The sequence below is a fragment of the Homo sapiens genome, chromosome 4 (genome assembly GCF_000001405.40).
Source record: "Homo sapiens chromosome 4, GRCh38.p14 Primary Assembly".
NCBI classification, from domain to species: domain Eukaryota; kingdom Metazoa; phylum Chordata; class Mammalia; order Primates; family Hominidae; genus Homo; species Homo sapiens.
Genome location: NC_000004.12, coordinates 14830888 through 14858581, shown reverse-complemented (window position 1 = coordinate 14858581; position 27694 = coordinate 14830888). Strand labels below are relative to the sequence as shown.

General features: G+C 40.3%; 1 long non-coding RNA gene across 1 annotated transcript in view, besides 2 other annotated features; it reads left to right on the top strand.

The window, feature by feature from the left end:
- The window catches only part of LINC00504 (long intergenic non-protein coding RNA 504), a 417705-nt gene that overhangs the window by 29588 nt on the left and 360423 nt on the right, over positions 1-27694 (top strand). The gene's annotated exons all lie outside the window — the stretch shown is intronic.
- Positions 1442-2641: an enhancer, noted in NCBI's record as "CDK7 strongly-dependent group 2 enhancer chr4:14857565-14858764 (GRCh37/hg19 assembly coordinates)". NCBI's record gives its function as "activates an origin of replication core promoter dependent on BRD2, BRD4, P300/CBP, MED14 and CDK7 cofactors, with strong dependence on CDK7, by STARR-seq in HCT116 cells {active_cell/tissue: HCT116}" and the evidence as "EXISTENCE:reporter gene assay evidence [ECO:0000049][PMID:35650434]".
- Positions 1867-2246: an enhancer, noted in NCBI's record as "active region_21332". NCBI's record gives its function as "activates an Ori minimal core promoter by ATAC-STARR-seq in GM12878 lymphoblastoid cells {active_cell/tissue: GM12878}" and the evidence as "EXISTENCE:reporter gene assay evidence [ECO:0000049][PMID:35858748]".

Sequence of the window (27694 nt, the reverse complement as noted above, 5' to 3'; positions counted from 1 at the left end):
TATGTACTATTAATCCATGGATAATTCAACAAAAGCAATTCCACAATCCCAGCTTTTAGGGAGATGTAGTTGTGTGTGTGTGTGTGTGTGTGTGTGTGTGTGTGTGTATATATATATAAAGTTGTTTATATAAATATATTTTATACGTGTGTGTGTATATATATATTTTTCTTGTATGAAGGCTTGATAACTCCTATATGGGTTAAGCTATTGATCCGAAGGAGCCAAAGAAGGCTCTAATCTTGGGTCGAATACTAAATTTTATGTGATGCTACCAAGCCATATCTTTTTTTATATATATGTTTTCTTTTTTTTTTAGAGGCGTTTTAGTTTCACAGCAAATTTGAGAGGAAGGTACAGATATTTCCCATATCTCTCCTACCCCCACAAACCACAGCTTCCTCAATTATTAACATCCCTCACCAGAGTGATACATTTGCTACAATTGATGCACCTACATTGATGTATCATAATCAACTAAAGTCCATAGTTTACATTAGGGTTTGTTCATATTTTGGCTTTTTTTATCAATAGTTTCTGGGGATCAGGAGGTGTTTGGTTGCATGGGTAAGTTATTTAGGTGTGATTTCTGAGATTTTGGTGCACCCATCACCCAAGCAATGTACGCTGCAACCAATATGCAGTCTTTCGTTCCTCAACCCCTCCTAAGCTTCCCCGCAAGTCCCCAGAATCCATTATATTATTCTTGTGCCTTTGTATCCTCATAGCTTAGGGAGCTATAGTTTTCAATTATTATATAATTTTATCTTCTGTAAGATACAAGATTTACCCAAGGAATCCCTACTTCAATTAAGAACTCTGGTGCCCGAAGGAGAGGCTTATCCTATCTCTCTCCACCTCACTTCCGGTTTGTTAGAATCTGGATTTGAGTGCTGCTTCCTGTGCCAAGCCGACTTGATTTGTACAACCCAAAGGTCAGGGCAGCAAAGCCAGGGGAGCTGTTTCTTCCTAACTTCAAGAACTCATGGGAATAGGTACATTAAAAACAGAGTTATTCCCAGTTCTCTTTGTTGCTTAAACAGATTGGCTTTTCACTAGTATGTTCTGTGCTAATAGTTGTAAGATATCACAGGTAACAAAATCATAATTAAAATGATGTGTGTGAAGATAATGTTGGTGAAAAAATGCACATAAAGCTATACAGTGCGAGAATGACCAAAATCAAAGGCATTTTTTTCCCCTTTTGCCAGGGAGACATGTATAAATTCAACTACACTCAAGTAAACATGCTTATAGAAAGCCTAACGCCCAAGATAGGCACACTTCCTTAAAAAGGAGCAGGTTAAGGGGACATGGTACCTATTTAATCCCTATATTGTGCCAGGCAGTTAGACTCTTTCACTGGGCTATCTCCTTTAATCCTCCCAACAACCCTGAAATGAATGTATTGTTTTAAAGTAGGGATGGAATTATTTGAGATGATGCAAATAAGATACCAAGTCGAGTGCCCAGAACATAGTAATTGTTCAAGAATATGTTGCTTAATGTCCACAGAGATTCAACGACTTGCGTATGATCACACGTCTAAGGAGAGGCAGAACAGGGATCCCATGCAGACAGATTTGGGCCCAAGATCACTCATACACTCGTGGTGCTACCAAGTCACATTTTTTTTGCAGGAAAGACAAAAGACAACCTTGATTTATTATTATTATTTTATAAATGACCTGGAATTCACATTCCCCAGGGCCAGTCTTGTCTCTGGCCTTTTTTGTTAGTTTTTCCCTTATTCTCTAGTTATCCATTCTAATTAATAAGAGACTACCATATAGTCCCCTTTTTCGCCCCTTGCCCAGCTCAAAGTCTGAAAGGAAACATGAGAACTCAGAAGACACTGGAAGACGTCACTATTACGGGCCTTTCCCAAGCCCCATACTAGTGAGTCCTTCTCTCCGTTGTGACTCACACCCCATCACCCTCCCTCCTCCCAGGACAAACAGCGTTATGACTCACTGTGGCTTCTGACAGCCTTAAAAGAACCATGAACTTGAGCCCAACCCTTGAAGGTCAAGGAGTACTATCATTCTTTAAGCCACACCACTGTGCACATGCTTTTTCCTTTAGCCAAGGGGAACTCCATGCCTCTGTGGGTTTTTCCCTTTAGACTAATATCTTTCTTCTTGGTTCCACCCTGAGAGGATTGTCAGTCAAGGGGGGTGTTTTTGGGTTTGAGATCAGCTTACAAAAGCTCCAGGGCAGAGACCTTAGTTGAATTCTGGGGATTTACAAAAGAATCAGAGACTGGGGAAGCCAAGTCTTCTGTCAAGTGAAGCTTATCAGGAATAATTCTAGTAAAAGCAGGGACCCCTCAGTGCTGTGTCATTATGGGCCTCTGGGCCTGTGGCTTCATGGGCAGGAGATAATTAGCAGACAGCTCATCCTGGAGGAAAGCAGAGAATGAGCCTTGGAACTAGTTCCCCTGCCTCCAGTTTGGCTTCTGTCCAGCTTGCCCCATCATCATGTCATGCTTACACTAAAGATCTTTAATGCTTCCCTTTCATCTCTATTTAACAAGGGGAAGAATATTTTTATAGCGTAAATGGAAAGGAAACAAGAAACACCTCTTCTACTATGCCTCCCTGCTTTACCTGACAACTGCTCCTGGTTCTCCAAGGCTCAGCTCTGCTGTTGCCTCTTCTGATTTGCCAAGTGGGGCTAGTTGCCTGCTCTGTGCATCTGCTACACACCTTGAACTCCTTCTAGCCCAGCCCTAACGCACTGTACTTTGGTTTTGCATTTAGTCATCTAGCTTCCCAACCATGCCATGAACTCCTCAACGGACAGGGCCTTGTTAGCACTAGTGGCATAGTAGGCATTCAAAATGATGGGCGCTGTAGCAGGGTGGTTGAGAAACTTATCTGTGTCTCATTTGATGCCATAGAGTTACTGGAAATGAAGGAAAGGCGTTCCTTCCTCTCCTAGCAAAGTTAACAAGTCTGTGTTACTAAGATCTGAATTTTCTTTACTCTTCATGAAAGAAGTTAATAGCCTTTTTGAGTTTCAAGGATGGGGGAAAAAAAAAAAGAAAGAAACAGGCAAGCCTCTCCCCAACTCAGTTCTAATCCCACAACATTTTTCTTTTTTGCTTGAAGGTACAGACCCATTGAGGTATAGTCTAAAGTAGAGAGGGACTTTTTCAAGATTTGAAGACAGTGGAGGCATAATCAGTGAGTTGGTTAGGTCTTCAGGGACTGGGTCAAGGGCATGGTTGTGGGAGTGTTCAGTGAGTTGCTCCAGCTGGAAGATGGGTTCCTAGAAGGAGGTGCCTTCATGGGGGCCTGGGAGGGCTGAGTACTGAGTGTGGTGGCCTCAGAAACCCTGTGGCTGAGCTGATACAGAGGACGGGGGGCTGCTAGCATCGTCACTCATTTTTTGGTGGTCTATGCCAACTGAGTAAGGACTTACATATAGCAGCAGCACTAGGGATGGGAAATGAATGCTGAGGCTGTTGTTTCCTTACTATCCCACTCTCTATTTACCATTTTCCTGAAACTGGTAAACTCTGGCATACTTACATGACCCAAATGAAAGAGACAGATTCCAAAAAGATAAAAAAAAAGATTAAAACTTTCTTGGAGTACCTTTGCATAGCAAAGAAGCCTTGTGAACAAAGAAAGCAGATCACTAGCCTAGGACATAAGTCAGCTGGAATGAGAAAGGTTTCAATCCAATAAGCATATGCCATTGGCCCTCTGTATCTGTGGGTTCCACATTCGTGGATTCAGCCTACCATGAATCAAAAATATTTGAAAAAATAAAGGATGGTTGTGTCTGTACAAACTTTTTTCCTTGACATTATTTCCTAAACAATGCAATATAATAACTATTTACATAGAATTTACATTGTCTTAAGTAATGTAAGTAAACTAGTGACTATTTAAAGTATATAGGAGAATGCATAGGTTATGTGCAAATACGATGGCATTTTGTATAAGGAACTTCAGCATCTGTGAATTTTGGTATCCACTGGGGATCCTGGAACCAGTTCCCCACAGATACTGAGGGGTGACTCTATAGAGTATACTGGCTCTAGGGTAGGAGGCAGGATATCATGATGGACAAGTCATAGACCCCTCTTGGTGCTGCTCCTTTGCAGCCTATCAGGTAGACCAGAGAGCTGCATTATCAGGACTGTAATATAATTTGTGATACATTGAGGTAGAGGGAAGCACTCAGGGGAGGGGAACTTAGCCTGGATTGAGAGAGGAAGAGAGGGCTTCCTGGAGTAGATGGCACTTGAATTAATCTTTGAAGGTTAATATAAACTAAGTTTATGATAAAAAATAGTAAGGGTGTTTCAAACACCAGGAAGTTAGTCAGGGATAGATAGAAAGGTATATGAGCTATCCTGGGGAATGGGGGAACTGACGTGTAGTTGGATGTTACTGGAAAGTGAAATGTGTGACTTTAATGGTGAGATAAATGATTAGAGAGTTTGATAGGGCCGGAGCCAGATAACTCTGGACCTGATCTCAAAGATGATAGGCAGAGATTAGAAGGTTTTAAGCAGGTCAAATTTCTGCTTTAGAAAGATATATTAATTAAGGCAAGGGTAGGTGTTCCAACAGAGAAATTCTGAAACCTCAGTGATTAAATGCTGTGCAAGATTATTTTTCAGTGACATGTATTTCAATTGGTAAGAGCAAGGGGTCTGTTCAAGGAATGTATTCAGAGTCGCAGGTGGACATAGGCTCTGCCATTTTCTAGTCATGACTTCCAAACTCTGGCCATTGACATCAAGCCAGCAGATGAGGCAAGGAAACTGAGAAGGCTTGTGCAGAAAGTGTTTAAGGATTAGATCAGGGAATGAGTACATCACTTCCATCTACATTCCACTGTCCAGAGCTGAGTCAACACAGTCACACTGCCAATGCTAACAGCAAGGGAGCCTGGGAAATGGAGCTGTACAGGAAGAAACATCTACCCTTGATAGTTCTTAGTTGGGACAGACCTCTGTAACAAAAAAATAGATTAACAAGAGAAAGGGGCTCAGGAGTTTATTAACATGTATATTTCAAGTATACATCAGATATATGCAAGGATAAGTGAATAAATCTCACAGAAGTGGCTTTGAATTCAGGTTTAAATACCATGTCTGTTGAAATGGAAAAAAGGTGTGGGGAAGGCTGGTTATGGAGAAATACCCAGGAAAAGCTCAGTAAACAGGGTAAGGTTTGTTATGCAGATTAAGTCAGTGCCTTCTCCATTGATAAGAGTCTTTAGAGATGTAGTCATCCTTTTCTTCCTGGTACAAAGAAGGAGACACTCTTCTATGATTAGAATGTATCTCCCAAAGCATATGGGTTGAAAACTTAATTCCCAATGCAACACTGTTGAGAGGTAGGACCTTTAAGATGTTTTTAGACCATGCGAATGAGTTTAGCCCCCTCTCTTGTTCCCTTGCTATGTACTGATGATGCCCTCTGCCATGCAATGATGCAACAAGAAGACTTCCTAGACTTCAGAACCATAAGCCAAATACATTTCTGTCCATTATAAATTACCTAATCTGTGGTATGCTGTTACAGCAGCATAAAACCAACTAAGATTCTTGCATATGGAGATTTTTTTATAGATGCAAATTTTCCCTGCAAAAGGGTAACGTCTACTCTCTTTTCAGAGATTCTCTTGTGTCTGCAGGGTTCCCAAATAATTGGCTCAAGATAATACTATATCAAAGAGGCATATTTTGAGGTGGCATATTTTGGTCTCCTGCCTAGCCAAGATGTTGCTTTGGAGGAAAGAAAAACCAGTTTGGTGAATGGCTAGTTCATCTCTGCTCAAAAATGGTACTTTGCCTCAATAAAAATTAGATTGAAAAGACACAAGATAAAAGGACTGTAGCAGTAGTCCATGCTAGAGGTGATGGTAGCCTAAAAGTGGTGGAAAGAGAGATTAGAGAAATAATATAAGAATGATTACAGAGACAGAATTGGCAGACTTGACGTATGGATGGGTGAGGAAGTATGATGGGAAGGAGAGAGATGACCCTGAGGTTTCTGGCTTGGTGGATGATGCATCCAAGAGAGATCAGAAATTACAAGAGTAGGAACAAATTTGGGAGGAGTAGAAATTGGCGGAGATGATAAACGTGGTTTGGGGCATGTTGAGTTTATACTGTTCATGGGACAAGTGACCATGTGAGTGACAGGCTGGGTTCGGAGATATGACCAGATTAGGGAGAGGGCTGAGTAAGGAAGATTAACATTTAAAAAGCCAAATAAATATTCCTTCTTTCATTAAGGAGGAAAAGGGAAAAAAAGAGATCTCAAAAAGGGAGAAGAAAAGGTAACTCTCCATAGGATATAAGCCATAGACATATTCTGGAGAATTTTTGATGTTTTTCTCCTGTAGAGTATCTTGGCTGTACAGTGCATGTATTAGACTTACCAAATGCCAGGAACCATGCTGGGTGCTGGGAGAGCACCTCTCTACTCTGAAGGAACTTGAAGTTTAGTGGGGAAAATGCTTGGGTATATCATGAATGGAGCTCATGGCCAGCAAGATTTCCTGTTCAAGATGGATTGTGGGTCACCAGGAGGGACATTTCCTTCTACGTGCCTGGAATTCCACCATTGCAAGTTCACTATTTTTGGCTACACTCTTTACCTTTTATTTTGGGAAGTAACATACTGTAAGAGAAAGAAGACAGTCCTTAGGGATAAGCAGTGGAAGATGACATCTAGCAGTTGATGGACCTTGAGCTGATAACTTAAATTCCTTGAGCTTCATTTCATCATTCATTATATGGGAAGAACCAACTCTGCACAACTCAGCACAACCAACCCTGATTGTGCTGAGGGTTATTGGCAACCATGAATGAGAAATTCTTGATATTAAATATACAATGCTCCATAACAAGAATATTATAAAGATGATGATGATAGCAGCTAACAAATAGTATCTTCCTATGTGCCAGGATTACTCTAAATGCTTTACTAATATTATCTCCATTAATCCTTATAACAACCCTACAAGATAGAATTATTATTACCTATTCCCTTTTAACCAGTAAGAACACTGAGGCACAAGAGGCCTCAGGTTTGAAGAGTAATGAATTCTGGCCGGGCACAGTGGCATGCCTGTAGTCCCAGCTCTTTGGGAGGCCGAGGCAGGTTGAGGTCAGGAGTTCGAGACCAGCCTGGCCAACATGGTGAAACCCTGACTCCACTAAAAATACAAAAATTAGCCGGGTGTGGTGGTGCGTGCCTGTAGTCCCAGCTACTTGGGAGACTGAGACACAAGAATCGCTTGAACCCGGGTGGTGGAAGTTACAGTAAGCCAAGATTGTGCCACTGCACTCCAGCCTGGGGTAACACAGTGAGACTCTGTCTCAATTAAAAAAATAAAAAAGAAGAAGATATAATGAATTCTGGATGGGCCACACTAGAACCAGTTCTGAACACATCCCTGAGAAGGAACAACTCTAGGACATGGAGGACTGGGTGGGTAGGCACTTAACGCCTGTTGAAAAGAAACTTGGAAATGGCCCAGGGTGTTGAAGTGTGTGCAAACCCATGGGAGAAAAATGGGAGACAAATGCTATTATCAGTATTTCATTCAGGACTGCACAGATGCCAAGTGGTTCATGCATTCATTCAGTTATTCAGTGTTCTTTTATTGAACTAACTCTGTGCCAGACCATGGGCTAGGCTCAAAAACACTGCTCCCTTCCTTCCTGGTTCCTAGAAACTCCTGGTTCATTCTGAAAAGGGCTGAGTAATAAGTGATAGATAGGCAAAAATCAAAAAGAACTTCCTGTTACATTTCATTCATTCTAAAATATGCATAGTTTTGTGTCTACCTGACATTGACTTTCTTTCTCCTGGGGAGTTACTCCTCAACTGTAGTGTACAGCACTCATAGAATTGGCCTGTGACTCAACTCTGGTGCTCAGGCATTCTCTCTTTACAATTTGTTTTGAATGGAGTAACAAATGGCTGAAACAGCTTCATCCAGACACCAGCACCCTGAAGAGACTTGATTGCTAGAACCTAGAGCCCTCGAGTTGCCCAACTTCCTTCTTTCATAGCCATGTGCCTTCCTTTGTCCTTTATATACACACACACATTTATTTTTATTTTTAATTTTGTCATTGTTTAATAATATAAGATACAATACTATATATTATATATAATTATATCTTATATAAATATAATATTTGTATAATATAAATTATTATTCCCTGATTGGCTAGTTTTTTATGTTATTTGCAACCAAATAAATTTAACTAGCATGTGGCATTTTCTGGTACCTTTCTACCTTGGGTTTTCCACCTGCAAAATGGGGATAGTAAAACTTGTTACTTACCCTCAGGCGGCTGTGCAGATTAAAGGTGTATGTCAGTAAAATGTTTTCAGATGCTTGCATGAAAGTTGTTGGAGAACTACAAAGTCTCTTCAATTTTAGCAGTACTTTCAAAGGACTTTCTTTATATACCATAAAGCAGCTTTTATCTTGGGAGGGTGTGCTCCTCACATTACCTTCTCTGTAAACAGTTCAATGGTTGCTCTGTGCATGATCCTTTTTCCAAAGCTGCCATTCAAGATGAAAGCTCAGCTCTATTTAGCCTGAGAAGTTTCTGTGTGACACACAGAGGGCTTGTGTTTATTATTGCCATATATATTACTTAATGGTAAGGAAGTTTGTTCAAATCCTTGGATTGTCAATTTGTTAGCGTTTTAGGGTTAATACATTCTTAACTCAAAAATAAAATGTAAAAACTCTACCAATTTTGGAGCAGAAAGTGTGGCATCTTATTAGAGTGCTCAACAATTATGAAAGTAGGTGCCACAGTAAAAACTATAACACCTTACAGATTATAAGGCGTTTTATGATTTTTAAAACACATACTTTGGACTAGTCTAGATACTAGAGTATGTGGCAGATACCAACTATCCCTAAGACTCCTGAGTTATTATTGCTAAATAAACCATTTGTGTAATATACAAACATGATGACAGTAATGCATGCTCATCAAAGAAAATTTGGAAATGCAGAAATGTAGAGAGATAAAATATATCAATATTTTAATAAGCTTGCTGTTGTAAAACAGCCATTCATCATATTTTCATTCATATCATTTTTCTTTTGGTCATAATTATAACAATTTCACATTAGTTGACATATTTTACGCTTTTTTTTCTTTTTATATTACATCATAACTCTATCAACTATCTATTGCCACCTATTAAAACAATGACCATTTATGATTGCAAATGAGTTCAGGGGTTAGCTGGAAGGTTCCATAGTCACTCTAGTTTCAGCGGGGCTTGCTAATGGGTCTGCAACCTTGGCTGGGTTCTCTCACTTGCTGGTGGGTTCACAGCACTCCTATCCTTGGTCTCTCATTCCCTAAGAGGACAGCCTGGGGGTGTGTACATAGCAGTGGCAAGATTCTGGGAGAGAAGACAGAACCAGAAGATGCTGAGGTCCAGAGCTGGCACACTGTCACTGCCACACTTTGCCAATGCAAGTGACAAGGCCAGCCTGGATTCCAGTGTGGGGAAGTAGACACCACCTCTGGATGGGATGGGACTCCCCAGTCATTTGCAAAGGTCACAGATAGAAGGAGGAGTGAAGAATGGCAGCTACTTTTTGCAATTGATATAGCAAAATAACATAAGCACACTTCTATATGATTTCATGGACATTTGTGATGATTTTATATGACAAATGAGTGTATTAAACTGAGTGACACCCTCGTAGATAATTTTAAACATTTCCAAAGCTTTGTTGGAAAAATTTTATATTTGGGGTAATTAAAAAATCTAAATCTAGAATCACGTAAGTTAATATATTGTCTTAAAGTTTATAAATATTTTTGTTGTTTTTCCTTCATACTTCCAAAGAACTTTTCAAAAAGCTGATACCAATTTAAATTCATATTGGAAGTATATGAGTGTTTATATCACTACCCGGCTATGAATACTGAATACTTAAAAAGATAAATCTCTGTTGAAACAAATAAGGAACCTTCCCACCTTCAGCATTTTGTTGATGTAATTGGCACTTATTTAATTGCTAGTAAAGGAAGAAAGGAAGGGAGCTAGAGAGAAACAGAAACAGAGTTCTGCAATCAAACAAGGTTAGGAAATACTGTGGCAGTTTGGTTCCTATATTAGCTATTCACAATGTATGTTAGCACTGGACACGCTCTGAAGAGTCTGTGGTAAAGAATCATATCCCACTTTATTTGCATCAATGTTGCCCTAATTAATATCGTCACAGAACTCTTATTTTTTCTATCAATTAATACCTTAGAACAACTCTTCTGAGTGGAACATTCTTGAGGAAATGGTGCCCTAGTAAAATACAGTCATTTTTCCTGATGGTGGGAATTTCAGACACCCTGGTAAGGTGGGAGGGATACGAGACACAGCTGGGGCTTTTGATCATTCCTAAGATCATACTGACCTTCACAAAAAGGAAATGTAACCTGTCAATGAAAATATTCAACTTCTCTTTCCTCCTAGCCATTCTCTTTGTAGTGATAACCCCAAGAGCTTTTAGTCTTTGAAGGGATGTGTTCTTCCCTGAAAATAGCCTGTTGGCATTTTTACTCCTGTTCGAATCTCTGCTGTAAAACCGATCTGAATGGTGGCCCCCATTGTCTAAGGGGCTGGCCCTTTCCTAGGGCTCTGCAGCTCCAAGTGCAATCTGTGGACCAGCAGTGTCAGCCTCATCTGGGAGCTTGTTAGAGGGCAGAGTCTCAGGCCTCACTCAGACCTATTGAATCAGGGTCTGCCTTTTGACAGGGAAATGTCCTGGTGATTACCATGCACATTAAAAAGCACCACCACTCCACGGGCCATCGAAGCCATCTAAACGACTTACCTCTCTTCCTCTTGACCATTGCTTTCTTCTTGTCCTCCCTCAATTCATTTCAGCTGCCACCACCACATACTGCAAAAAGTTACCTGGGCATATGCTCCTCTCCCTCCTTTCAGAGTCTGGCCCAAGCAAGGTTATAGGCCCATTCTCCTGGTTCCTTTAGGCATACACTTACTGTATAAAATAACAACCATCAACACCAAATACAGAGGCAAAACACAGGGGAAAAATAAAAGGAAGGATGAAATAAAGTCTAGGAGGCATAGATTCTTGCTCCTGCCACAACCCTTGTCCCTGTCTTGGGTCCAGATTCACAAGCCAAGTCTTGATCTATTTCTAACTCTGTCTTAGGAGACTTGCCCTCTACCCCCAGATGCGTGGTGCACTGGCCCAGGGCCCTTTTATAGCCACTTCTCTTGCCTTGGCTTTCTAGCCCTGCTGCTTCCTGGAGGGGGTTTCTCACAATTCATACACCACACCTCCAACTTTCTGCTCACTCCTAACCCCTGCAAATAGGCCTGAGATCATCCTGATTATTCTGTAGTCAAGAAACAGAGAGGCTGGGCATGGTGGCTCATACCCGTAATCCCAGTACTTTGGGAGGCTGAGGCAGGAGGATCTCTTGAGACAAGGAGTTTGAGACCAGCTTGGGCAACAAGACCCCCTCTCTGTAAAAAGTGAAAAACAATTAGCCAGGCATGGTGGCAAATGCCTGTAGTCCCAGCTACTTGGGAAGCTAAGGCAGGAGGATTGCTTCAGCCTAGGAGTTAGAGGCTACAGTGAGCCATGATGGTACCACCGCACTCCAGCTTGGGCGGCAGAGCAAGACCGTGTCTCAAAAAAAAAATTAATTGCTTAAAATAATTAAAAAAATAAAAATAAAAACAAACAGAGAGATGAGTCTCTTCCAGGATGGGAGACTGTCCTAGAAACTGGAGGCTCCATCTACTTTCTGATGTCTTGTTACTTTCCCTGATGACTGATAGCAGGCATTGATACTCCATCTCTGCTCCCTTGAAAGAGATCCTGCCTCAACCTAACTGACCGGGCAGTGACTTAACTGTGGCAGGCCTCCCAGGCACTATATTCAAGAATCATATGCATCTGCAACATGGGGATCATTTCTTAAAAGCTGCGGGGCTAAGAGTCATCAGCATGAGGATAAAGACTACTTGGGCGATGGGAAGTGAGAATGGCAGAGGATGGAAGCCACTTGGAGTTATAAAGCACAGAGTAATGGCTTTTAATTAAATTCTCTCACCAGGAAGGCACTATCCAGGAGGATTTAAAAGCATGAATCAGAAAGAAATTTCCTTCTTGTTCTACTTACTAGCTGTGTGACCTTGGACAAGTTGCTGAACCTTTTTGCCTCACAATTTTTTCATCTGTGAAAGGAGCATAAGGTTAATTCCTTTCTCTTAGAGCCATGGCTAACTGCAAAATTTGCAGGGCCTAGTGCTCGGTGAAACTGTGGAGCCCTTCCTTCAAAAGTTATTAAGAATTTCAGGACGGCCTTTCTGAGCCCAGGGCCCCATGCAACCCCAGAGATTGTATGCCTGTGAAGCTGTTAAGATCATTCCTGTGTCTAGGACAAGGTAGGAAGTCAATAAATTCCACTTAAGAATGAAGCCTTGAGAGGTATATATTAATAGTGCTGTATAAATGAACTGAAGATCGAGAAAGTAAAGCAACTTACCCAACAAGGTCAGATGGCTAAGTGACTGAGCCAGGCCTCTGCCTGGTTCTGTGTGGAAAACCCATAAGCAGAAATTTCTATAATAAGTAGCACAAGTGAGAGCAAATGATCTTCATTTCTACCCCAATGCAGGTGGAGGAAGGGGCCCTGGGATACATCCGCTCTCCTCTGTGTCAAGGAGACAAGAAAGAGGGAATTGCATATCTTATTCTGGGGACATTTGACAAAATCAAAAGCAGGGCTGAGGAGCTTCGACTCAGGGCTGGCCTATTGTGAGATTCTAGCAAAGTATTCAGCTTATTTTGATCAGAACCTTAAAACTGAGCCTCAGGCCTGTAGTTTTCTCAATCCTTGAATGACTCCATCCTAAGTGGAGTACCCAGGTTTCTTGCCCCACCCCAAGCATCTGGCAAGAATCCTTCCTTTTTTTGGGCTGCAGTGTTTCTGGGCCTCCAAAGAGTGAAAAGCAATCTGAAAAACCGCATGAAGCTCAGGGTCTCAGAAATCTGGCTAATTAGCCTTGTTGAGAATAAAAGCATTTCCAAAGAGAAACCCTAAAGAAGCCATGTGCAATGAGACAGCATCTGGGGAAGTGTCTAGCACAGTTCCCTTCCACGTGGGGAGGGTGCACTCAGCACTCATACTGTTGGCTCTGGTCTAGATACTGTGTTAGCCACCTTACATATTAGCTTTTATAATTCTCCCAGCATCCCTTGGAGGCAGGCATGACTATTCCCACCTTACAGATGAGGAAACCATAGGTCAGAGAGTATAATCATTTGTCTTCAATCACGCAAGCTAGAAAAAGGTGGAGTCAAGTTTTGAATCCAGCTTTCTCTGGTGATGCCATGCCATGCCATCCCATCCCCATCCCCATCCCCATCCCCATCCCCATCCCCATCCCCATCCCCATCCCTATCCCCACTCCCATCCCCATCCCCATCCCCACTCCCATCCCCATCCCCATCCCCACTCCCATCCCCATCCCCACCCTATGCTATCCCTATCCCTATCCCCTCCCATCCTAGCTTTTAACTACTTGCTATGGTCTGAATATATTCATGTGTTGGAAACCTAACTCTGATTGACACAATGCTGGGAGGTGGTGCCTAATAAGAGGTGATTAGGTCATGAGGGCTCTGCTGCATAAATGGATTAATGTTATAACGGGAGTGGGTTAGTTATCTTGCGAGTGGGTTTGTTATAAAAGCAAGTTTGCTCTTGCACATGCACTCTTGCTCTTCTGCCTTCTGCCATAGGGTGAAGCAGCAAGAAGGCCCTTGCTAGATGAGGCTCCTCAACTGTAGACTCCCCAGCCTCCAGAACTGTGAGAAATAATTTTATTTTTGTTATAAACTACCCAGTCTGTAGTATTCTGCTATGGCAACGTAAAACAGACTAAGGCACCACTGTACAGTGAGATTTTACAACTGTGATGGTTAATTTTATGTATCAACTTGATTGGGCCATGGGATGCCCAGATATTTGGTGAACAATTATTCTGGGTGTTTCTTTCCTGATAATTTTGGATGAGATTAACATTTGAGTCAGTTGACTGAGTAAAGCAGATTGTCTTCCCAGTGTGGGTAGGCCTCATCCAGTTAGTTGAACACCTGAAAGGAACAAAAAGACTGACCTTTCCTCCAAGTAAATGACAAATTTTTCTGTCTTTAAATTTAAACTGAAACATTGACTCTTCCTGAATTTTGAGCCGGCTGGCCTTTGAACTAGAACTCCCCTTCGGCTCTCCTGAGTCTCTAGCTTTCTGACTCACCCGACTCAACCTGGAGATCTTGGGACTTTCCAGCCTCCACAATCATGTGAGCCAATTCTTCATAAATCTTTTTTTATCTAACTATAAATGTAGATATGTATATGCATATATAGAAATGGGGAAAATCATAATATTTAGTCGTCCAGTGGATTAAATGAGATAGTGGTTATAAGGTAAATATCCTTAGCTTCACTATCAAATGTTGCTCAAATGTCAGCTTCTCAGGGAAGACTTCCCTGGTCTCTATTTCAAATTGCACCCCTGTAACTAGCATGTAATATTCCTATTCAATGACTTACTCTTCTGTAACCTTTATTATTCTATAACTTATAATTTACTTATTATTTGTTTTGTTTATTGTTTGTCTCCCTGACCAGTATGCAAGTACCATGAATGCAGAGCATTTGGTTTGTCTTGTTGTTTAGCACATAACTGGTATTCGATAAATATTTATTCCATAAATGAAAGACCCTGTCTGGCAAATAGTATGCAGTGATGAAATATTAGCTATCACAAACAAGATGAAAATTATTTTACTAGTGTTTTGGCCTCCCATAAACACTTTCATGACATACCCAAACTCTACTCCTTAAAATGAGATGCTAACCTACTCTGAAAATCATTTGAGAGGACTAACCAAGCTAGAGTTCCTGGCCCTCAATAATAGCTAGACAATTTTAGGATTTTTGACATGTATCAGACATCCCTCAAAACTAGTCAATGGATTTACCCTTTAGATGTGACTAAGGTAGAACATCTTTCTTGGCCTACCTTCTTTCATTTGTGAGATAAAAGACTGAGAAATAGAGCTATGAAAGCAAGAAGCCTGGAGCGAGTCACACAGACACTAGTAACATACTGGAAATCCTACAGCTACCTCTTCATTTGCTCTTTTACAACTACCAAGTGACAGATTAAACTCTGAGCATACAAGAGAGAAATGACAGTGTAGCTTATTATATGGCCCAGATAAGTTTTTTAAAAATGCCAGTAACTGGCATTGCTTTGAGGACTCACTTTAATAAAATAAAACTGGTGTTTTATTAAGCTTACAGGAAGCCAAGTACTTCCCTACATTGTACCAAGTCTTCTCTCACTGTGGCCAGTAAGAAGACCTCTTGATATGTGTGGATGCTGTGATTTGAACATGATGGAAACTTAGTTGCTACTGTAATAGTAGTAAGAGGTGTGGTCTTTAAGAAGTGATTAGGCCATGATGCCGGGGCCATGCTTTTGGGCTTCTCAGCCTCCAGAACTATAACCAAATAAACTTCTGTTCTTTATAAATTACCCAGTCTGTGGTATCGTGTTATAACAACAGAAAACAGACTAAGACAAAATTGGTACCAGGAGTGGGTTGTTGCTATAACAAAAATCTAAAACTGGATAATGGGCAGAGGCTAGAAAAAGCCTGTATTGCCATGAATGGAAAATTAAGGGTGATTCTGTTGAGGGTTCTGAAGAAGAGAAGAGCTTTAGGGAAAGTTTGAGTCTTCTTAGAGATTACTTAAGTGGTCATGACCAGAATGTTGGTAGAAATAGGGGCAGTAAAGGCCATTTTGTTGAGGTCTCATATGGGAAATGAGGTATTGGAAACTGGGATAAAAGCCATCCTTTTTACAAAGTAGGAAAGACCTTGGCAGAACTGTGTCTGTGACCTAGGACTTTATAGAATGTGGAACTTAAGAGTGATCAACTAGGATATCTGGTGGAAGAAATATCTAAGCAGCAAAGCATTCAGGCTGCTGCATGGCTATTTTTAACCACACAGTGAGATATGATAGTAAGTAAATTACTTAAAGGCAAAATTTATATTTAAAAGAGAAACATAATGGAAAGATTTGGAAAATTTGTAACCTGGCCATGTAAAGAGTGAAAAAAAATGTTCAGGAGAGAATACTAAGGATGTGGCCAAGTGAACATTTGCTAAAGAGATTTCTGTCGTTGGAAGAAAGCCAGGTGCTACTCATCAAGACAATGGGAGGAGGACCCAGAATTCATTACAAAAATTTTTGAGGCTGCCTTCTTATCACAGTCCTAGAGCTCTAGGAGGGTAGAATGGTTTCAGGGGATGAGTTTGGGATGCCCTCCACAGATTCATTCCTAGGACTGCCTCAGAACTCTGCACTCTGCATTTCGGCACAGCGCTTCTCAGCTGCCCAAGCCAGGGCTCAAGTGGCCCCTGGTGTGACTCAGGCTGCCACTCCCAGGGGAGTAGCATTCACACTCCCTCTTATATCATGTGGTATTTACTTGTCAGAGGGGTGGAGGCACTGCAGAGAGCCACTACTAGGGCATTGCCAGGGGAAACGTGGGTTTGGAGCGGCTGCAGATAGTCTCTAGTAGGGAAACATGTAGTGGAGTGGTGGAATTGGGGTCATTCCTGAGACCGCAGATCTGTAGAGCTACCAATGTGAAGTGCTAGTCTGGGAGAGCTTCAGGCATGAGACTCCAACCAGTAAGAGCAGCATAGGCAAACTGCGTAGGTCCCAACCCATGCTCAGGTGTGTTCAGGATTCAGGAGTCAAAGGAGATTATTCTTCAAATTTAAGACTTAATTTTGTTTTCCCTGTTGGGTTTTGGAGTTACTTGGAATGACCTACCCTTCTTTTCTTGCCAGTTTCTCCCTTTTGAAATGGGAATGTCTATCCTATCCCTATTCTACCATTATATTTTGGAGGTAGATATCTTGCTTCATTTCACAGGCTCACAGCTGGAGGGAATTTGTGTCACAATGAATTATGCCTTGAGCTTCACCCGTATTTAATTTAGATGAGACTCTGAGCTTTGAACTTTTGAGTTGGTGCTTGACTGAGTTTAGACTTTGGGGGCTATTGGAATGAAATGAATATATTTTGCATGTGAGAGGAAGGGCGTGAATTTTAGGGAACAAGGGCAGAATGCTGTAATTTGAAAGCGTCCACAAATGTTCATGTCTTGGAAACTTAGTTGTCATTGTAACAGTACTAAGAGGTAGGGTCTTTGAAAGGTGATTAGGCCATTAGGGCTCTGAAGAGATGATTGTCATTATCGTGGGGGTGGTTAGTTATTGGGGGAGTAAGTTCCTGATAAAAAGAGTGAGTCTGGTCCATCTCGCCTTCTCTGTCCCACTTCCCTTACACTTTGGGATGACTCTCAGCAGATGCCAGTGCCATGCTCTTGGACTTCCCAGCATCCAGAATTGCGAACCAAATAAACTTTCATCCTTCATTAATTATTCAGTCTTTTTTTTTTATTATTATTATACTTTAAGTTTTAGAGTACATGTGCACAATATGCAGGTTAGTTAAATATGTATACATGTGCCATGCTGGTGGGCTGCACCCATTAACTCGTCATTTAGCATTAGGTATATCTCCTAATGCTATCCCTCCCCTCTCCCCCGACCCCACAACAGTCCCCAGAATGTGATGTTCCCCTTCCTGTGTCCGTGTGTTCTCATTGTTCAATTCCCACCTATGAGTGAGAACATGTGGTGTTTGGTTTTTTCGTCCTTGTGATAGTTTACTGAGAATGATGATTTCCAATTTCATCCATGTCCCTACAAAGGACATGAACTCATCATTTTTTATGGCTGCATAGTATTCCATGGTGTATATGTGCCACATTTTCTTAATCCAGTCTATCATTGTTGGACATTTGGGTTGGTTCCAAGTCTTTGCTATTGTGAATAGTGCCGCAATAAACATACTTGTGCATGTGTCTTTATAGCAGCATGATTTATAGTCCTTTGGGTATATACCCAGTAATGGGATGGCTGGGTCAAATGGTATTTCTAGTTCTAGATCCCTGAGGAATTGCCACCCTGACTTCCACAAAGGTTGAACTAGTTTACAGTCCCACCAACAGTGTAAAAGTGTTCCTATTTCTCCACATCCTCTCCAGCACCTGTTGTTTCCTGACTTTTTAATGATTGCCATTCTAACTGGTGTGAGATGGTATCTCATAGTGGTTTTGATTTGCATTTCTCTGATGGCCAGTGATGATGAGCATTTTTTCATGTGTCTTTTGGCTGCATAAATGTCTTCTTTTGAGAAGTGTCTGCTCATATCCTTTGCCCACTTTTTGATGGGGTTGTTTGTTTTTTCCTTGTAAATTTGTTTGAGTTCATTGTGGATTCTGGATATTAGCCCTTTGTCAGATGAGTAGGTTGCGAAAGTTTTCTCCCATTTCATAGGTTGCCCATTCACTCTGATGGTAGTTTCTTTTGCTGTGCAGAAGCTCTTTAGTTTAATTAGATCCCATTTGTCAATTTTGTCTTTTGTTGCCATTGCTTTTGGTGTTTTAGACATGAAGTCCTTGCCCATGCCTGTGTGCCTGTGTCCTGAATGGTACTGTCTAGGTTTTCGTCTAGGGTTTTTATGGTTTTAGGTCTAACGTTTAAGTCTTTAATCCATGTTGAATTAATTTTTGTATAAGGTGTAAGGAAGGGATCCAGTTTCAGCTTTCTACATGTGGCTAGCCAGTTTTCCCAGCACCATTTATTAAATAGGGAATCCTTTCCCCGTTGCTTGTTTTTCTCAGGTTTGTCAAAGATCAGATAGTTGTAGATATGCGGCGTTATTTCTGAGGGCTCTGTTCTGCTCCATTGATCTATATGTCTGTTTTGGTACCAGTACCATGCTGTTTTGGTTACTGTAGCCTTGTAGTATAGTTTGAAGTCAGGTAGCGTGATGCCTCCAGCTTTAAAAAAAAAAATTATTCAGTCTTTAATATTCTGTTATAGCAGCAGAAAATGACTAAGACAATGGGCTACAAGATCAAGGTTAAACATACCCCGATGGTGGCAGGAAACATTTTTATGTTTCCAGTGTCAACCATCTGGGCTGGCAGATCCTTGGTCAGGAACCACAGAAGGGGTGGGTGGCTTACATGGACAATAAGTTTACTTTTGTATTCCCTTCTTGACCTGCACTTGAAGCACCTAGGTACCTATGAGGTCACTCTCAAGCAGTGGGAGATAGAGACAGACTCTGTCACTTGGGAGTAAATGCCAGTGGTAATGGTAGCTCACACTAGTTGAGCACTCTACCACTATATACCGAGCACTCTACCACTATATACCAAGCACTCTGATCAGTGATCTGAAGTGGTCTCATCAACTTCACAGCAAATGTAAAAGATCACTGGATGCTATTGTTATTCCAGTTTTGCAGACAAAAAGATTGAGGCTCAGAAGAATCAAATGACTTTTCTCAGGTCACATATGCAATAAGTGAAGGTACTGGGATTTGAATTTGATGATTCTGACTCTATTAGTTTGCTAGAGATGCCATAACAAAATAGCACAGACTGGGTGGTTTAAGCACCAGAAATATGTTTTCTCACAGTTCAGGAAGCTGGAAGTCCAAGATCAATGTGCCGGCAGGGCTGTTTTCCTCTGAGGCCTCTTGCAGATGGCAGCCCTCTTGCTGCCTTCACATAGCAGTCCCTCTGTCCTGCTCACCCTTGGTATTTGTATGTGTGTCCTAATCTCCTCCTCTTATAAAGACACCAGTCAGATTGGATTAGGGTCTACCCTAACAGCTTCATTTTAATTAAATTACTCCTTTAAAAGCTCCATCACCAAACACAGTCACATTCTGAGGTACTGGGGGTTAGGACTTTCTCATGGTTATCTCAGGATACCATAGCAAAATACATAAACCCAGTGGCTTAAGCAACAGAAATACATTTTCTCAGTTTTGGAGGCTGGGGGAAGTTGAAGATCAAGATTCCAACAGACTCAGGTTTAGTGAAGGCTCTTTTCCTGACTTGTAGACAGCTGACTTTTTACTGTGTCCTCACATGGCAGAGGAAGAAATGAAGAAAGATAGAAAGAGAAAAGATGAGGAGAGGTAAATTAGGGCCTCACCCTTAAGTCCTCAATTAACCTTAATTATCTCCTAAGGATGCTATCTCCAACTACAGTTATATCTGGGGTTAGGGTTTCAATATAAATTTGGAGGAACACGATTTAGCTCATAACAGACCACTCTTAGTCATTTTACAAGTTCAAATATTTAACCAAACCACTCTTAGCTCTTTTACAAGTTCAAATATTTAGAACCTGAAGATCCTTTATGTGTATTTTGCTGATGTTAACTCCCCGTTGGTAAAGCCTTTTAGGAGTCACATTCACGTCTTGCCTTAGATATACACACAGAGGTGAAAGGGCCCTCTGTCCTAGGACCACAAGCATAAAGGGGAAGTGGCACCCCCTGAGGCCAATGTAGTGAAGGCAGGATCATTAGTGAGCTTTTCTTGGGGAAAGCAACTCTTGGGCAAGTTGCTCAACCTCTTGGTCCCTGCCTTTCCTCATTGGTATACCAAGCATAAAAATCATACTCAACTCGCGGGGATACTGTGAGAGAATATAACTTAGCATAATGCCTGGAACATACTTGGACATTTCTAAGGAAGTGACTTTTTTTTTTTTTTTGCCTTAGTTACTTCCTTTCAGTAAGAGTTCAAAATGTCATTAAACATCTTAGATAATCTCCTACAATAGCATTTTTCAAGATATAATTTCTGTATCCTGAAGTCAAAAGATGCTTTTCTTAGAATGAGTTCTAGAATCAATTATGTTTGGAAGTACATTTACAGTTTCTCCCCCTTTGCAAATTAAATGTTCTGGGAAATTTTAGAACAAAAATCTTGTTGAACTTGGTACACCCACCATCTTCACTTAATAGTGGAATGCACTTTGGAAATGGCATCTTATATAATTTTCTAATTCTTTGTGTATGTGTGGGTCTCTTTAACTCATTTTCAAGTTTCCTCATCATATTATATATAATATATACATTATATATTATATATGCATTATATATATTATATATACATTATATATTATATATGCATTATATATATTATATATACATTATATATTATATATACATTATATATTATATATACATTATATATTATATATACCTTATATGTTATATATACATTATATATTATATATACATTATATATAATATGTATACATTATATATAATATGTATACATTATATATTATGTATACATTATATATAATATATACATTATATATAATATATACACATTATATATAATATATACATTATATATAATATATACATTATATATAATATATTCATACATTATATATAATATATATACATTATATATAATATATATACATTATATATAATATATTATATATACATTATATATAATATATATACATTATATATAATATATTATATATACATTATATATAATATATACATTATATGTATAATATATACTATATATAATATATTATATATACATTATATGATATCTACATTATACAATATATAATATCTACATTATACAATATATAATATCTACATTATACATTATATAATATATACAATATATAATATATACATTATATAATATATAATATATACATTACATAATATATAATATATACATTACATAATATATAATATATACATTACATAATATATAATATATACATTACATAATATATAATATATACATTACATAATATATAATATATACATTACATAATATATAATATATACATTACATAATATATAATATATACATTACATAATATATAATATATACATTACATAATATATAATATATACATTACATAATATATAATATATACATTACATAATATATAATATATACATTATATACATAATATATAAAATATACATTATATACATAATATATTATATATACGTAATATACGTTATATATTATAAATACGTAATATACGTTATATATAATATACACATAATATATGTTATATAATATACATAATATATTATATATACATAATATATATACATAATATATAATATGTATATTATGTATATATAATATATTATGTATATATAATATATTATGTATACATAATATATACGTTTGTGTGTGTGTATGTCTTTTTATATCTACCATGACAGTGTACACATAGTGTACACAAATGTCACTCATCCAATTCATTGGAATCTGTATTCTATTTCACAGAGAATGAACTTCAGCCCAGCATGGTAGGAAATTATCCTACTTCCAGGCAGGCAGCCTAATGTCATAGAGGGGACATTGGACCAAATATTTCTGTGCTTTACTTTCCTTATTTATAGCTTTAGTGTGACAAATTGGAGAGGCCCTGAGTTATTGTCTACTTTTAAATTCTATGTAATTCTGAATTAATGGCACTAAATTTGGTGAAGTTTTATGATAAAAATAGGTAAAATGGAGAAAAGAGTCATAACCTTGTGAAAATAAGTGAAGACTAACCACATGACAACAAAGGAAGGCTATTTATTCAGAGCTTGCTACAGGAAGGGAGTTAGCTACCATCACATGCCAGACTCCAAGGCAGGCAGGGGAGTGGGAAGGATTTGTAGTGGAAAGAAGGGAAGGGCTCAGGTGTGCCCTGGGTGGAGGCTGTTGGCCTGGGAAATCTGAACATGGGCTAACTCAAAGCAGGGCATCCCATGCGATCAATTAGGGATGAATATTTAATTTTCGCTGGTTGGTCCTAAGCTGAAAGTGGGGACAACAATTAGGAAGCCTGGCAGTTATTAATAAAATCTTGGCCATCATGGATTTACTGTGACAGGGGTTATTGTTTGGCTTCCTGGACAAATGACTAGAGATTACCAGTTACTGCTAACCTGACTTCTGTACATCTGATTATAGACAGCTGGCTGGCTTCCTGGGTTTGTTACTGTGGATGATGGATTGGTTTTCTGGACAGGTTGCCAGTTGTGGGTCAGAGTTCTACGTTTATGTAGAGCTGGGCCATTGTCTGTTTGGATAGTCAGCCTCCTCTTATACTCACTAGCTCTTGGTTAAAGTTCCCCATATAACTCAATTCAAAAGTTCCCCAAGTCAAGGAAATGTGTCTTGTGTTTGTGCTTCTGGTAAATATGACAATAGAGGAAACCATGGATCTTCCTGGAATTCTTTTCCTGTAGTTCATCATTGTCACAAATCATGTGCTGAATGTAATAGTTAGACTTTTATGATTCTGGGAAGGCATCTTCTTAAACTTCAAAAGAGTTGTGAGTTCCAGAAGAACCTAATGGGACTCCTGTGCACTCTCATGGCTCCTGAGGGGAACTGGAGGCTCCCCCATGGAGTGTTTAATTCCCTGTACTGATTACTCTCAGGATGTCAATGAAGACTGGACTAGATTTGACATAGCATGTCTCAGCAATTTCAGAACAACTCTCAGGATTTCTGTTTTATTTTATTTTTTAATAAAAAGGGAAAGAAGTTCTTGCCTAGGAGTCCATATGCCCTGACCTGTGGCCTGACCTAAGAAGGATTTAAAAAAAAATGATTATTTAAAAAACCACACAAAGAAGAACACATGGCAGAGACTGTAAGACACCCACAGAGCCTTATCTATCTACTCACTTGAGAGCAAACTTTTGTCAACCCCTATCCCGGTCAATTAATAGAGAGCCTTTGCCAGATTTTAGAAGTAGGGTCCCCTTCACTATTAGTGCAGTGAGTTTGGGGGTGGTGCCTGGCAATGAGTTTGGGGATAGTGTCTGGCATCTCCATACAGTAACTGTAGAGGATAAACCAGTCTAACTTGTCAGGCTGGCCAAATGGGGAGCAGCTGAAGGTGGTCTCAGAGGCTCTGACATCAGCTGGCTCTCAGGAACTGTGGACCTGAGTGTTTTGCTTTGTTTTCTAAACCACTATGGCTCCTCCTATGTGACTGCTCCCGGGGCTAGTCCTGCTGCCTTTTCCAGTTCAGCCTGCCTGATGGCTGGAGAAGAGTCAGTATCTTCAAGGCTTCAAAGCATCCTCATCCCAGAGCTCAGTCTGTCTGAGTAAAACTTAAAGCATACTTTTCCTTACCTTTTCCATTCCTGCTGGTTCAGTTCCCAATCCTTGGTTCAAAAGCCAGGTTGAATTACCTTTCTGGGAAAAGCTGTCAGACATGTGGGGATGATAAATAATAGCAACTCAAAGTATTAATACTTATAGCACATCATTAGGTGAGCAAGTCAAATATGAACGTGGGCCTACAGCATAGTCTTTTGTTTCCTTTTTTTTTTTTTTTTTTTGAGATGAAGTCTCACTCTGTCAGTGGCACGATCTTGGCTCACTGCAACCTCCGCCTCCCAGGTTCAAGTGATTCTCCTGCCTCAGCCTCCCAAGTAGCTGGGACTACAGGCACCCCCCACCACGCCCGGCTAATTTTTGTATTTTTAGTAGAGACCGTGTTTCACCATATTGTCCAGGCTGGTCTCGAACTCCTGACCTTGTGATCCACCTGCCTTGGCCTCCCAAAGTGCTGGGATTACAGGCGTGAGCCACCACGCCCGGCCTAAAACATAGTCTTAACTACTTAAAGCAAGTGAATAGAAAAATAGCGAAATTTGCATTGAAACAAAATGTCAGAAAGGAAATGCCCCAAAGTTAAACTGTGGTTGCCACAAGGAACTGGAATTGTAGGTTATGATTTTTCCTTATTTTTGATTTTCTGTGCTTTCTAATTTTTCTATTAAAAGCACATATAATTTTAAAATCAAATTTAAAAGAATAGTTTAACCCAACACTGCTGTGATGTTTTAGTCTGAAGAAACACATATGTATTTGTGCTCAAAAGTCCTTCTGGAAGCAGATGGAAAAAAGGATCCCTAAAATGTGATTCAGACCCAGTTGTCACAGTTATCAGAAACAAGTGAAAAACTTAGAAAATCTGATGTTAGAGAGCCTTGAATTATTCTGGTAACTACTTCCATTCTCAGTTTACATTCTGGGAAAGACGTTTTTTTTTCCCTTGCTTTGAATGTTTTAGTGTTGGAGCAACCAAGAATTATAGTTGTTCTAACTCTTAATATATTTAATTTTCAAAACATGAAACTTCAAGTAGAAATTAAAGCCCTGAATATATTTGAAACTCACCGATGCCTCCTTTTTCACATGGGACAAATCCATTGCCTCTTGTATTTATGTTTATTGCATCTATAAATCGATTGGGAACAATAAAAACCCAGGAGCCTGAATGTCAGGAAGGAAAGGAGACTCAGTCACAGCTTGTTGTTAACTCTTTGATGTATATATTTGTTCCAAGTGCGGGACATTGGCATCTTTTTCTGTTTCTTCATGGAGGACAGTGTCTTCTCTAATAAGCGGATAATGGGCTTGGCAAGAGAGCAGGCCCGTGTCTTCTCAGGGCAGAGTCACCACCTTATGTTCATGGTTCTTGTTTTTGTTGTCATTTGTTTCTCCTCCCTCCCTGGGCCACCCTTAGAGGTGTTAGAGATCAGGATACGTAATTCTGTATTCATCATCTATCTTTTTGTTCCCTACCTGTTTGTCCTTCCTGGGTCTCACAAGGACTCCCTCTGCATCCCCGGCTTCTCCCTCTAACAGCCACTATAACTCTGTTTCGTACTCATCTGCCTGCTTGCCTGACTGACTTACTAGATTACAGGCACTTTGAGTCCAGGGATCATGCCATATTCAGCTGCTTTGTATTCTTTTTTTTTTTTTTTTTTTTCCTGAGATGGAGTCTTGCTCTTGATGCCCAGGCTGGAGTGCAGTGGCTCAATCTCGGCTCACTGCAACCTCCTCCTCCCAGGTTCAAGCAATTCTCCTGCCTCAGCCTCCTGAGTAGCTGGGATTACAGGTGCATGCCACCACACCCAGTTAATTTTTGTATTTATAGTAGAGACGGGGTTTCACCATGTTGGCTAGGCTGCTCTCGAACTCCTGACCTCAAGTGATCCACCCACCTCGGTCTCTCAAAGTGCTGGAATTATAGGTGTGAGCCACCATGCCCGGCCTCAGCTTTGTATTCTAAGCAACCAACATGGAGCCTAGAAGTGGCTTCAGTACATTTTCTTAAATGAATAAAGTAGAATCAATAGAACTATGCTTCAAGCACTGTTTTTAAGCACTTTGCCTCTGTGGGTTCATGCAATACCCTGCAAGAGTTCTATTATTGTCCCTGCTTACTTGTATATGAGATGGAGGGCTCTGGTGACTGCAGACTTTCTGTCTCTAGAGCTGTGGCTGTTGAAAGCTATGTCTCTTCTAATACCTCCCCAGTGGGCTTCCTGGGGTGATGAGGGTGGGAATGGTCCCAGGCCCATGGAGAGAGGGCAATATTTAAGCACACTCAAAGGTCTATATAGAGATTGTCCCCCTGCTAACCCCTGCCCAGACTACCCCTCATGACTCAAACTATAATGCATAGGGGTGCTTCTTATCTGTCCAGACTCTTGGCCATCTGGTTCACCAGGCTGGGCTATCTGCACACCTTGTGATTGGGCTTGTGCAAGTAGGATGCTGGCATTCCAAGCCTTCTTCAGGCTGTTGTCTGGAACACTGCTGCTTATTTTCCACTCTTATTCTCTCTCCGTATTCTCTTCCCATGTTTACTTGGCTACCCTTCGGCCCTCTTGGCTTTGTTTTCAGCTCTAGCTCCTGCAACCTTTTCAGTTTTTGCAGCAGTGCTTGACTTCCCTGGGTGAGCCTCACTTCATACAGCCAGCACTCTGCCTGGGTTCTTCTGCCCCTGGCAGCTTCTGGCAAGTCTCCTGCTTGACCAAATGCCAACTCAAGTCCCAATTTCCAGTGTGACACAGCCTCTAAAGCAAGAGTGGGATTCCCCCAGAATTTATTACATAGCTCTGCAGAGAAGTTGTATGACGAGTTACACATCTTTAGTTCCAGAGTAGAAGTGGGAGAGGGTGGTTATCAAATTAAGGCTTATCTCCCCAGCCTAACCTGCCAGCATTCTTTGTGGTTTCCCCCAAAACTTCCATTTGCCCTTATTTCTGGGTTATTGCACACCCCCTGCCCATGCCTGGGAAACTTTCTCAACCCCACTCTCCACCCTTTAACTTGACTCCTGCTCCTCCTGTGAGCCTCGGTTTTGATGCTCCTTCCCTTAAGAAGAAGCCTGTGCTGCTTACATCCCCTGAGCCCTGGAGGCCTGGATCATGCAGGTGCCTTTGGATCATGTAGGTGCCTTTTCTTTTTTCTCCTTTGTCACCATGTAAATCTTCATCATCATCATAGTAGCCACTGTTCATAGAATGCTTCATTTATGCAGGCACATTTCTAAGAGCTGTACAAGGATTAGCTCAATTGATCCTCCACAACCACCCTGAGACAGGTACTATTTTAATCTCTGTTTTACAGATGAGGACATCTGGCACAAGGAAGTTACAGAACTTGTCTAAGGCTGCACAGGTAATTAGTGGTGTAGTCAGGTTTTGAACCCAGGCTGGCTGGCTCTAAAGCCACAGGGCATAGCTGTTCTTGACTGCCTCTCGTGAACGGCATTTGTCACAATGCATTGCACTGTCTAGTTACTCCTGTTTTACTCATAGCTGTGAGCTCAAATCTTTACATTTGTCTGT